This window comes from Homo sapiens, chromosome 18 (genome assembly GCF_000001405.40).
Source record: "Homo sapiens chromosome 18, GRCh38.p14 Primary Assembly".
Taxonomy (NCBI): Eukaryota; Metazoa; Chordata; class Mammalia; order Primates; family Hominidae; genus Homo; species Homo sapiens.
In genome coordinates this window covers 53,594,713-53,608,422 of record NC_000018.10, presented here as the reverse complement: position 1 = coordinate 53,608,422, position 13,710 = coordinate 53,594,713, and the positions used below count along the sequence as shown (strand labels likewise).

The window sequence follows — 13,710 nt, the reverse complement described above, 5'->3', positions numbered from 1 at the left end:
AATTTTGTACAGATTCTCCTTTCCCATATTGAAGTCTCATGTGATGAGAATAATAGCAGAGCCTCTTTGTGGGGAGGAACATTTTCCTTAGGAAACGATTAGCATGCTGTATGACTGAACACTTTTACTTTTTATTTTCAGAAAGGAAAAAGGCTATGCTGTTTCTCTATTTATTTTTTCATTATTTTTATTTTAAAGTTTACAAAATAAATGCACAGGGAATACATTACGGTCTTATGTTCTCAACCCAGTTAATGTTCATATTTTATTACTTTATCTTATTTTATGTGTAAATGATGTAAGATGTAACACTTGATGTCTTCCTTGTTTCCTTCTCAAATTCAAAATCTCTCTCTCTCCCAGAGGCACCATTTAAACAGATTTTGCAAATATTTCTCCAGTCCATGTGTACCGCACATGAACAAGAATTTTGCTAGAGGACCACAATTAGAATATTTTTGGGTCATGGGGAAGCATAGTGTCTACTTTTATAGATACAGCTAAATTTCTCATTGATGTGGATACACCAGAATTTGAGCATTCTTTTTTTCCTATATCCCTGTCTGCTTGATACTTTTAGACTTTTCAGCTTTTGCCAACTTCGTTAAATAGACTCTCACTTTAATTTGTGTTTTCTGATGTTCCTGTTAGCACGGTGTATATCAGCGAAACATTGGGTTTTTAATTTCTTAAGAGCAAACCATACATTAGTCTAATTGATAATTGGATTGTTGGTAACTCAAAGGATAAATGCTTGAGGAGATGGATAACCTGTTTTTCAGGATGTGCTTATTTCACATTGCATGTCTGTATCAAAACATCTCATGTACTCCATAAATATATACACCTACTATATACCCACAAAAATTAAAAATTAAAAATAATACTGATAATGAAAATAAAAATAAATGGATAGACAGGTGCTTAACTAGTCCATAGCACAGGAGGTATATTCATTTTGTTCATTTGCCAAAGAGTAAAACACCTAATCTGATCATTATTGTCAATGTATACCAAATGAGGTGGAGAGTCTTGACATGAGCTGATTCTCTGGCTTTTTCTCTCCCAGAAATTAAGAATTTGAGCATGACAAGTATGGGTCCTATATTTGAGGACACTGAACTTGTAAGTTGATGTTAGAACTGAAGTTGCATTTTTGGGTGGCACTTTTGGGAGTTACGAGTGTCAAGGGAATCAGAAAGATGGGACAGAGTCAGGATAGGGGCCCACAACCTTCCTTCTAGTTCTGATTTTAGTTCCAGGTCAAAGCAAAACCCAACTACAGCATGTAACTGTAGCTCTGGAAAGTATCCCCTGAATGCTTATGATAAATCACCTTTTATTTATGGTATGTTAAATGGACAGTTACTTGGACTCAGCAAATCCCCTGTTATTTTATCTGTTTGGATATAATAATCACTCTTCTCAGCAGAGACATTTGCCCTTTATGGCAAATAAATGATAAAAAATGAAGAACAGGCACTTGTGTACCTTCTGGGAAATGTTAACCACAGACTAAATCAGTCTGTGTTACTCTGGGCAGAGTGGAAAATAAAGCAGGTTTGGAATTAAAAGATCTGAGATAGGTTCTCAGTTCTACCTCTTCTTAGCTGTTTGAAATCAGACAACTAACTCTTCTGAATATAAATTACTTTATCTATGAGCTAATGACAATAATATCTACTTTTCAGGATTTTGGTAAAGCTTAATGAGATTAACTGAGATGATAGATGCAAATGGGCTTCATAAAACATGTGATCATAATATAGAAATAATATAATCTGAAGAAAAACCAGAGTAAGAAAGCCAGCACTATAGCCTAATTTTCCTCTGTATTTTTCTTCCTTCTATTTTCTCTGGGTTAGAAACACAAAGCTTAGTTTCCCAGAGTGCTTTAAATTTTGTAGGAAAACATAAACTTTTTAAATGAGGCTTCTTTCTCTGGGTAAACCAGAAAGGAACCAGAAAGGAAAGAAGGAACTCTTAGACATAAGCCATGCTTTTTGGAATTCATCAAGGCTTCCCTTTTCTGCTCTCTTTCGTTAGGGGCTACTTTTTCTTTTTCTTGTCAATAACCCAGCTACCTCGCACAAAGCAGTAAGAAATTCCTAAATAAAGAAATTCTTAGCTGATTTAGATGAAAAGTAGTGTTGCCCTGATAGCTGAGCAAACTGAATATGTCACTTCAGTACTGCATTTGGTAGCATTTTGGGAGTAGGGGTTTAGATATGATTTTCAAGATTAATGAAAGTTGGGATGAATGACAAGCTGGGATTTGATGGGCTCACTTTGACCATTTTCACATAGAGGGATGCGTTCAGGAATTATATTAAGCTAGTGGTTATTAAATATTAATACCAAATTCTAATTATTTTAGTTATTTTCTTATTTTTAAGTATGGTAAATGTACAAAACAGAAAACTTACAACCTTCTTCATTTTTAAATGCACAATCCAGTGTTAAGTACATTCACATTGTGGTGCACCCAATTTCCAGAACTCTTCGCATCTTGCAAAACTGAAACTTTATACCCATTAAATGATAACCATTCTAATTATTTTAGAAGTTCATTCTCTTCAAGTGCTTGGTAAAGCATATACTAGATTAGAAGCAATATATCCTGTGCCTGTGTTCATGTAAATATGTCATTCTTAGTCTATAAACATATAAGCTGTGGGTATAGGTGCAGCTGTGACCAAGTCCAAGAACCATATGATGTACAGCCAGTCCTGGAAATGACATAGAAATACATCAAGAAATGCCCGTCACAAAGATACAGATGTAAGAGAATGGATCCCATGTTTCTCAGGAACAGGTGCTTTGCCAAAAAGCATGACAAGAAGGGCCCGAAGCGGATGCCCACCAACACCACCAAGGCCATGAGTACACATGCTAACCTCCCCGAAAGCCCAGGGAGGTCAAACCCACGATCCCAAAGGGCATCAGCCATGAGCTTGATTGACTTGCTTACATCGCCCACCCCAAGTTTGGAAGGCATCCTTGTGCCTGCGTCTCCAGAGGTCTCAGGCTCTGCTTGCCAGAAGCCAAGGCCAAGGCTCAGTCAAACCAAGGCCCAGGCTGTGGCTGTGGCTATGTCTCTAGCTCCAGCTCCAGTTCCGGTTCCAGTTCAGGGTCCCAAAGGTTCCCAGTCCCCCAGAAGGTTCCTGAGTCGAGGCTTTTGTCTGCCAATGTAAAGATAGAAGGATTGGAGTGACCACTGTGCTGCCCTCTGCATGGAGTTGATGTCCTTCTGTGCTATTTGAACAAATAAACCCAGGGCCCAAAACAACCAACCAACCAAAAAAACAAAACAAAACAAAAAAAACATAGAGAAGAGTCACTGATTCTAAAATGTTTCTGCATACTTTGACACAATGTGCTTGGTGATTAAAAGGACTCTCATAACAACAATTATGTACATCAAAATATCAAAACATGACCTCAGATTTGGTCTAAATGACAAATTTGAATTGATTTAGTTCATTTTGCTGGTTAATGAATCTGTTGTTTAAAATGATGATAATAATAATAATCAGGGCTTTGATTTCCCAGAACATTTTGTTTGGATAGGAGCCAAGTTCCTCTGCTAAGATTCATGAACAGCAGCCTCCCTTTAAGTGGTAAATGGGGACTCTTGGACCCACCTAGAGATGCACATTATTGGTTTTTCTCTGGAGAAACTTTGGCTGACATTTCCCCAAGACGTATGCTTATATAGCAGTAAAATTTTTCCAATTTCATGCTTACTTCAAGCAATTGTCAAAAAATGTCTTTTCTCTATTGCCTTTGCAACCTTAACACCCACAACAACTTGGGGTTAAGTCAATTTCATAAAACAGCAACCTGTTGGGAAGGAAATTGACTAGAAGTGCAAATGGCAAAGGCTTTTTGTTGTCATTTTTTAGACATAGAAAAATGATTGAAATAAAAAGTAAATATAATTGATCATATAGTCTTTCTTATCCTTAACCAACTCGTTAGATTTTGAAGTTTTAATAGAGGTAAGCAAAGTCCTGTATTACCTGCAAGATGGAAATGGAAATGAGTACATGATAATTGATGTATATATTTCTTTCATTCTAGAGCTGCAGAAAATCTAGAGGGATTTTTAACAGATGCTGCTTCTGCTAGCATGATGTGGGTTATTATTCCTGTTATTACTTACTCTTCCATTTAAGGAGAATAGGCAAAACTGTCACAGTAGGAGCAAAAAAAAAAAAAAAAAAAAAAAAGAAGCAATAAAAATGAATGTTCTTCCCTAGATGAGAAGAATTTATTTTGCAAAGTTTGAAATACTATTTATGTAGAGCAAAGAATAGAATAAGTCTTGAACTGTTCATCCAAGGCACTTCCTTGTGATTGTCCTCAATTGGTTAAATTGTTTCTTTATGGAAAATAGTTGAATGTAAAATATTTAGAGGTTTGGTAGAAATAATCTAAGCAAATGTTTATGTTTAATTAAATCATGTCAATCTGCTGAAAATAAATGCTACAATATAGTGTCAGTTTCTCTGAAAAATGCACTGTTTCGACTAAGAAAAAAACTTCTCCCAAACATTTATTGAAAATAAATAACTAGATGGAGATAAACATTTGAAATAAGGAATCAAAGAAAATAACTACTGGTTCCATTTTTCCATCATATATTAATGTACTTACTTTACATCTTTAAGAGTAATGCATTAAAATAAAGATACATGATACACATACATGCAAAAGAGCAAAAGCAAATGGTTTACCATTAATGGAAGGTTGTAGTAAAATCATTTTGATACCATTTTGTGAAATTATTACACATGCAAAGAAATTTAGAAATTAACTAGTATAATTCTGTCAAGCCATGAAAATAAGCAAAGACAAACCAAATGAGAACAAATAAAGGCTATTTATTCAGAGCTTGCTATAGGGAGGGAGTCAGCTGCCATCCCTTGTGTTTTGGCAGAGATTCAAAGGCAGGCAAAGTGGGAAAGCTTTGTAGTGGAAAAAAGGGAAGACTTCAGATATGCATCGACTGGGGGCTATTGGCATGAGGAAGCTTAGGCAGGCCAATTTGATGAAAAGCATCCAATGTGATTAACTAGGGGTGCATATTTTGGTTTCTCTTATTGGTCCTGAGTTGAAAGCAGGGACAAAAATTAGGGAAGATGTTAGTTATTAACCAAGCCCTGGCCATTTTGGGCTGATTGTTACAGGGACTTTTGGCTGGCTTCCTCAATTTTTGCTAGAGATAGCAGTGTGAATTTCTACAAGTCCAACTTTTAACAGGCTGATTTCCTGGGATGGTTATTGTAGATAATGGATGGTTTCTGGGGCAGGTTGCTGCAGGTTGTGAGGTAGAGTTACATTTATGTATAGGATTTAGTTATCGTCCATTTGTATATTCTGTCTCTCAAACCAGTGTGAAAAACAAAATGCATAAGACAATTAAAGAGATGATTTTGTTTAGGATACTGCACTGGGGATAATGTTCATTAGTGAGAAATGTATCAAAGATGAGGGCAAAACCTGAAGTTTTATAGAAGCAAGTAAACAAGTGAGTCATGAGGAAGCATAGAGCTGAGTCTCATTTGTGTGACTGAGGAAGAGTGCATATGGTTATCTTGGAATATGCTAGGGTAGGTGGTCATTTGCTATTAGATCCCAGAGCATAAGGAACTGGGGGGATGTCTACACTTTGCTGACATTCCAAAGCACAGGGCTATTCAACACTGTCATCAGTAAACAGTGGAGTTTTTGAGATAAATCAAAAGCTTACAAATAATTAGTTGTTTGGTCTAATGCTCCCTGTAGCCATTATCTATCTATATGATGGTTCTAGACTGAACAAATTCTGCAATATATTTGTATAGGAACTCAGAGAAGAGCATGATCACTTCTCACAGTTATTTGGGTAGGATTCAAGGACGTATTTACATCTGGACTGGACTCTGAAGGATGGCTCCAGTGTTGTTGAGCATTGCAGATGGATAAAATGGAAGGCAACATGATTTAAAGCATGGCGGTGGTAAAATCTTAAAGGCTCTTTGATGGATCAGCAGCCTGTTATGGCCTTTTAAGGGCTTTGCGTAGGTAAATTTGGCCATGCCTAGAAAATAAGGTGAAGACAGATCCCAAGGGGCCTGAATAATTTGTAGGTCGTTTAGTAGACAATGGAAGCTAGTGAAGATTTTAACATAAGGTAGTAATGTGGCAAAGTGGTTCTTTAGGAAGGTCAATCTCATGGCAATGTAAAGGTTGTAAAGGTTGTCTCTTAGACAGAGACTAATGAGAAATATAGGAAATGCCAAAAATATACTTTTGGCCATGGAAAATACAGGACTGAACCAGAGTGGGGAAAGTGGTTTTGAGAGGAAAACGCAAAGGACAGCTGTGGTTTTTTGCTTGTCCAGTTTATATTCTACTTTCCTCTAGTAATAACCTATCAAAATTATTTTTCCTTTTGGTGAATATTCCCTCCCACAGTCTTTTGTGAGGTTTAGACTTCCTTATTTTGATATGCCTATGGGATAATTCTATGGAGATGTCTGCAAAATAGTTTGATATTTATGTTGGATGCTTAACTTGTATTTCTGGCTTCCACCTTGCTTTCGGCTTCTCCTGTCAGTGAAAGGTACCAGCATCCATCAAGCTATCCTACTTAGAAAGCTACTCCTTCCTCTCTTCTACTTCACAAATCCTGGCAGCAATTAAACCTTATTCATTTTACGAAGTAAATAGATTTAAATCTTACCTCACCTCTATGCTCCCTATCTCAACGGTCACTGTTTTAGTCCAGCCACCTCATCAACTCTTAAACAGACTTCTGAATAATCCTGTTAATGCTTCACATCCCTCCCTTTCCCCATAAATTCATTGCCTACATTAGCATCAAGGAGACATTTAAAGCAAATGCAAATCTGGTCATGTAATTCCTTTGACTCTTCCTATTTTCTCTTACCCTTAGATTGAACTCCTTTACATGGATTATAAGACCTCATATGACTCAGCTCTTTTCTATCTCTCCATCCTGATTGCACGCTTTCTTTATCTCTGCTCCAGTGACATTGATCTTCATTTAATTTCTTGGGTTTACCTGTTTTGTTGTTGTTGCTGTTTCTAAGCTTTTAAATATGCTTTTCTATCTTGTGATGTTCTTTTCCTCTGCCAATATATTTCCCTCTGTATCTCTTCACTAATTCCTATTTATCCTTTAGATACTATTTCATTTTTTTTTCCTTTCATGGGGACAAATTAGCCTCAAGTTTGTAGGAGAGGCGAGGGTTAGAGGTAGACAGGTGATAGAGAAAACTCAAAGTAGGGGGAGCTCCTCAAGGAAAGCACACGAAGCAAAGAGAAAATTGCACAGTGTGGCTCCTTGGAGGGCATCAGTGCTTCATGGAAAGGCAGAACAGCAGGAAAATTTGAGGGTAGCTGGGTAACAGGCACTAAGCGATGAGATCCAAGACAAAGCTAGTGATCAACAAAATCCGGTGCATTATAGAGTCGGCTAGAGTTAAGATCTGAAAAATGTTCTTTGTACTTGCCATTTAGGCATTTATTTTTATCTCCACTATTAGCACAATACTGGGGATAAAAGTCGGGTGGCAGTGAATTACAGTAGCAAAGAAGTAGAGATAGCAAGAATATAATGCTCTTTGAGAGTTAAGGATGGCAAAGACTGGGAAGGAAAGAAATATCAGCATTATGGTTTTAGGAGGATCAAGATGAAACGAGTGGGTGTGTGAGTGTGTATTATGAATTAGATGTAATGTTAATAGGGCCAGGGAAGGAGCGAAGATTAGTATTTTGCTACACGCTCATGCTTCCTATTGGAGGAAGTGTCTTAAGCCAGGTAAGAGGTGGCAGTATGAGACTCATGTCAGGCCTCTGAGCCCAAGCTAAGCCATCATATCCCCAGTGACCTGCACGTATACATCCAGATGGCCTGAAGCAACTGAAGATCCACAAAAGAAGTGAAAAGAGCCTTAACTGATGACATTCCACCATTGTAATTTGTTTCTGCCCCACCCTAACTGATCAATGCACTTTGTAATCTCGCCCACCCTTAGGAAGTTTCTTTGTAATTCTCCCCACCCTTGAGAATGTACTTTGTGAGATCGACCACCTGCCCGCAAAACATTGCTCCTAACTCCACTGCCTATCCCAAAACCTATAAGAACTGATGATAATCCATCACCCTTTGCTGACTCCTTTTTCGGATTCAGCCCACCTGCACCCAGATGAAATAAACAGACTTGTTGCTCACACAAAGCCTGTTTGATGGTCTCTTCACACGGATACATGAGACAACTAAAATACGGGTAATCACAGTTAGTGTTTATCATAATCTTTTATATTGATTTTGGGAAATAATTTAGTTAATATTAATAAGTGATTGTTTATGATATGAAAGTTTTATTGACACTGTAATTGTTTTGAAGATTTTGGGCTTCTATCTGTCAAAACAATCTAAATAGGAAACTTTCCATTTTCTTTCTAAAATGCTCTCAACTTCTCCCTGTAGCCTAGTCTATGCTAGGAAAGCATGGGAGAGGAGAGTTTGTGTGTCAGACCAGCATAGCAATGCAGCTCAAGCACAGCTGTTACTTTCATTCTTCCCAGAGCACAAACTTGGTCCAAAGATAGAATAGGTTGCCTCAGGGAGAAGTGAGTTCCACATCAGTGGGATTGTTCAAGCTTCTGAGAGCTGTTCAGATTGATGGTAGGCCTAGATGATTTTTAAAGGCCCTTCCATCCGCAATAGTCTATGAATCTCACGTTTCCAAATGATTGTAGAGCTTGAATGCAGGCTACACTCCAAGTTAAGAGTAAATAGATGTGAGCTGTTAACAAAGTAAGCAGCGAAGTGGAATATTGTTTTTGCTGGCATGCTTTGTCAAGGATAATCTGCTTTAAGAGAATCAAGAGTTGATTCTATTAATGTTCATTGCTTCTCTTTTTAGACAGATTTCCATCTTGTGCTGACCTTCTGAGGTGTATTTTCAGGAAAAAATAAGATTGAACTTCTTAGTGGAACAGTCATCTTCCTAGTCTCCAGCCTTTCTTAACTTGCTTAATATATTCACATGCATTTTGATGCGAGTCTTATTTCTGAGTTAGTCTACAGCTTTTACTACACCCTCATAGTGTAATGGGTGCCTGGATCCTGATGAATGAATAAAGCTTTGTATTCATGGGCCATTCCAAAGGAACTGGCTGGGTTCATCATCTCCCATTCTGCATGTGGTTGGGTCTGTGATGTCCTCCTCTCCCATAAATTTCTCATCCCTTTGATCACATACCCCCTTCAGATGAGGAAACTGAATTAGAGAAATTGTGAATGGTCCAAGGTCATAGAGTTAATTAACAGAGAGAACACATCATGCACATCAGGAGAAAACATCGATAACAGAACCTTCAAAGGTGATTCGTCAAGCTCCTGTGTTGATGCTGACGTTTGGCCTTGTGCTTAGCATTTCTGCATGCCTAGCACTCTAGGCATATTTTCCATTCTGCACAAATTGTATTACTGCTGATGCCTACATACTAGTAGAACGACTAAACAAGTATCATGAATAGCAAAAATCAAATTTGTCTGAGAAGGCTCAATTCTCCTGCCAAAAAAAAAAAAGGGGGGGGGAAATTGCCTGTACTGAAAAAGAATTCATTAATATTTTTGTTATTCAAATAAGCATGATAAAAGAGGCACAGCCATCAGTTTGAAAAAAATTCTCAAATATTTTCTGAGCTTTTTGCTTCATTAAAGTAAGCAAGGGAAGAAGCCACCACAAAAGATGTCACCTTTCAGCGGGATTTATCTATGTGATAGAAAAAAGATCACCAAAGCTATTCAATAATTTATTTCATGAATGCAAATGGGGGATATCTCACCTAATTTGACTTACAGTTGTCTCTATAATTTTATTGTTACTTCATTTTCTCAATGAACGGTAGTTCTACATTTTTACTGTAGGTAATGAAGTTCATTTTAGAATGAGATACTTGAGCATAATCAAATTCTTAATTTGATTTCTCAGGTGAACAATCACGATAGCATGGAAAGTGCTTTTTCCCATGCATGAACTGAAGATAATTCAATGAAATATAGTTTGACAAATATTTATTGAGTGCCTACTCTGTTTCCAACACTATTACAGGCACATGGTACACAGAAATGGAAGATAGTCCTTGTCCTCAAGGAAGTCTGTCTCATGGGGGGATTTGTGGCCTTGGGTTTCTTAAACTCCGAGTCTCATCAGTTTTAATTTTTACAGCCATTTCTGTTTTCAAAGTTGCAATAATTTTTCATCTTGGTTGATGGATTTCACCAGTTCTGCTCTCTCAGGTTTCATACAACAATATAAAGCATGTGATCTGGAAACATCTTGATGAGTAGCCCTGGTGATATTTCTCAAAAAGCAGTGTCTCTGTTCCACTTCAAAACTTCTTAGTGGAATAGTCATTTTCCTAGTCTACAGCCTTTCTTAACTTGCTTAATATATTTACATGCATTTTGATGGGAGTCTTATTTCTGAATTAGCCTACAGCTTTTATTATAAATAATATTTAATAGAAGATAGTAAGATGAGAATGAAGACTTCAAATTTAGAGTTTCTACTTATTTTCTTACCAGTACTTATCGAAGTTGTCCCTGGATATGGGAACAAAATAAAAGAGCTTATTAATTTACAAAAAGCCAGGAAAAATTAGAGAGTTTATAGAAAACCAAGGTGGCATGTTTTTCTTACTATTAGAAGAGATACTATCAAATAATTGGATATTGCCTTTTCTCACAAGACACAGACATCAGTATTTCACTACACTGAAAAATCAGTTCAGCATTTTATACTGCAATAATCGTGAAGCCAAAGATAAATTATTGAATGAATTAGTCACTGTCTCTCAAACTTTGAGTTTATAGATCACCTGGGAGATCTTGTTAAAATGCAGATTCTGATTTGAAGTTTGAGGTGGGAACTGTTTTATATCTGCTATACCCAATCCAGTATCCACTAGCCACATGCGGCTTTTGAATACTTGAAATGTAGCTAGTGAGATGAAATATTTAATGTAATTTAATTTAAACAGCCACACATTTCTAGTGGCCTCTGTATTTCACAGTGCATAATTAGTCTATCAGAAAAAGTCAGAAAATTAATGAATCATTGTCAGGCTTTAGGGGCTGTCTTATGTTTTCTATTTCTTTTTTCTCTTTGTCTTTTTCCTGTTTTTTAGACAGTAGTCTGTTTGGCTATTCAACAGTCTTGAATTTCCTGGTAGAATCTTTGAAAGGCATGTGGTACTTTTTTTTATTATTTTACTTGTTTTTGACTGATGAAAGCAAAATTAATTTATTAATTAAAATGACATTTTGTTGACTTTCTCATCATAGGTATAGCCAACCCGGCTTAGAATCATTGCATATGAAAACATTCCACAAAAGCTAATAAACTACATTTATTCATGGAAAAGCCTCTTCAGGTGCCAGACATCAGAATAAGTAGACTTTATTTTGAATATATTTTATTTTATGTTTTCACTTAGAACTAAGACTATGTGTCTTTATGCTCTGTTAAATGAGAGAGTAAGAAAAAGTACCAAAGTTAGCAAGTATGATCAGTAGGTAAATCATCTAATCAATAATTACTCTGAATAAGTGTGAAGACCCTTCCATTGAGTAATTAATAGTGAGAAATAAGTCTTCGCTAGGGGCATAAACAAAATCTACCAGCTGAATACATTAAATTGACAATGGCTTTGACTATTCTCTCACTGATTTTAAAAATAATTTATTCTTAATAGATATGTGCATAGTATTTATTATGGGACAGGCATTATTCTAAGTGATTTTTAACTAACACTTGCTTTTTCAATCCTTACAACAATTCTATATGGTAGAGTCTCACCCTCACTGACAGATAAGAAAACTGGATTGTAGGTAAATAAAGTGTCTAGAGTCAGATGATGACAAATAGGAAGCAGGTTTGAAAGCTGGCAGGGCCCATGCTCTAAACCACTGTGCAACGTAGTGTGGCGGGTTCAGTGTTGGTCTAATATTAAAGAATAGCCTTTCTCATATTAGGCTCTTTATTTTCAGAATATTTCAAGAATCAGTAAGTCATCGGCAGTCTTTAGAAGGAGAAAGCGTTGTAACCATTCTTATTTCTGTTTTTCCTCATTACCGAGCAGGTGGACTTTTATTTGAGCATTAAAAATCTTTAGAACTTGATTCCTAGATCTGTTTTACAGTATTTGGGTCATTTATGGCAAAATTCTTAATCTCTAAACATCAACTCTCTCATCCCTCAGTGTGATTAATAATAGAGCCTACTTCACGATGATTTTTATTAGAATAAAATAGGTATATAATTCACATAAAATACCTAGCACAAAGCTGTTAAAATGTTAATCAAGTTCTCAAGAAATATTAAAACAAATAGAAGTTTAATCAAAACTAATGTCAGTATATGAAAATGTTGACTGAGACTAGCTCCATGTAATAGAAGCAAATACAAAAATTGCATGCAAATTGATGAAATTCAAATACCTTAATCACACTGTGCACTAATTTAGAACATTTCACTAAAACTATTTATTTGGCAAATAGAAAACAATTAAATGTATAAATAGATTCATTTCCCTTTTCACTTTATAAATTTTATATAATATACACGATAGAGTCTTAATTTTCATGTTTAATTGATATGAATTTTAATGGTGCATTGGATATAAAATGTCATACAGGTTCATCGTATTCATTCCTTTTTTAAAATGTCTAATACTGGTGACATCAAAATGCTACCACGAATAATTGCCTGCCAAATAAATCATGCAGCTGAAGGATACTTGGGGCAAATATTTTAATTGATTAAATATATAGTTAACTTTCATGTAAGATTTTATCTTTTCTTTAAAATCTTATTCATTAAGATTGACATATGGTTATAAGGTAATAGGATTCATTTTACTTTTAAAAAGATTATTTCATATTTGAATTACTTTTGGCTCTCAAGGTGACTTGAGAGAGTTTGTTTTCATTGCAACAATGATGCCACTACCTAAAATATTTTTGAACTCTTTTTTTTGAAACTTCCTTCATAGTCTTTGACAAATTCATTAGAATTTATCAAGTGTTCCTTCTTGACCATTTGAAAATGAATTTAAGATTTAGAGAGCACTCAAAGTCATTCAGAACAAAATCTATACAATAAGATGGATCATTAAAAATTACTTATTGTTTTGAGAACAAGAAGTAGAGTTGACATACAATTATGACACATAGTTACAAAGAAATGAGATGTTGCCACACACCCTGAGGCTAATAATACCAGTATCAACAAGAACTTGCTAAAGTTCTAATATGGTCCAGCCACTGTATTAGGTGATTAGTCTGTACTATTTTATATCATCTTTATAGAAACTCAGTATTATTTTTTCCACCATTCAGACAAACATATTGAGACTTAGGTAATATTCCCAAGGTCATACAGTAAAAAGCAATACAAGATTTCAAATTTAGGATTGAGTAAATCTAAAACACATGCTCTCTGTAGTACTTACATTATTCTGAAGGAATACCTCCCAAAGGCTTTAATCATCATGAATAAGGGCAGCATCAATGGAGCAATACATGACCTACCTATGTAATGAAATGAAGGGCAGTGTTTATTTGGATGATGTATTTGTAAAAAGAGATCTCCTTATTTTTAGGACAAACCTCTTATATACTGG

General features: G+C 35.8%; 1 protein-coding gene, 1 long non-coding RNA gene and 1 pseudogene across 2 annotated transcripts in view; 2 read left to right on the top strand and 1 right to left on the bottom strand.

Moving 5' to 3' along the window:
- LOC124904304 (uncharacterized) overlaps positions 1-13,710 on the top strand; it is a 266,099-nt gene that overhangs the window by 138,511 nt on the left and 113,878 nt on the right. The gene's annotated exons all lie outside the window — the stretch shown is intronic.
- On the top strand, positions 2,790-3,149 carry RPL29P32 (ribosomal protein L29 pseudogene 32; annotated as a pseudogene).
- LINC01919 (long intergenic non-protein coding RNA 1919) overlaps positions 10,572-13,710 on the bottom strand; it is a 29,405-nt gene continuing 26,266 nt past the window's right edge. The window contains exons 5-6 of the long non-coding RNA NR_110798.1: positions 13,540-13,618; positions 10,572-10,630 (exon numbers count right to left, since the gene is read on the bottom strand). This is a non-coding gene — a long non-coding RNA (long intergenic non-protein coding RNA 1919). The remainder of the gene's footprint in view (positions 10,631-13,539; positions 13,619-13,710) is intronic.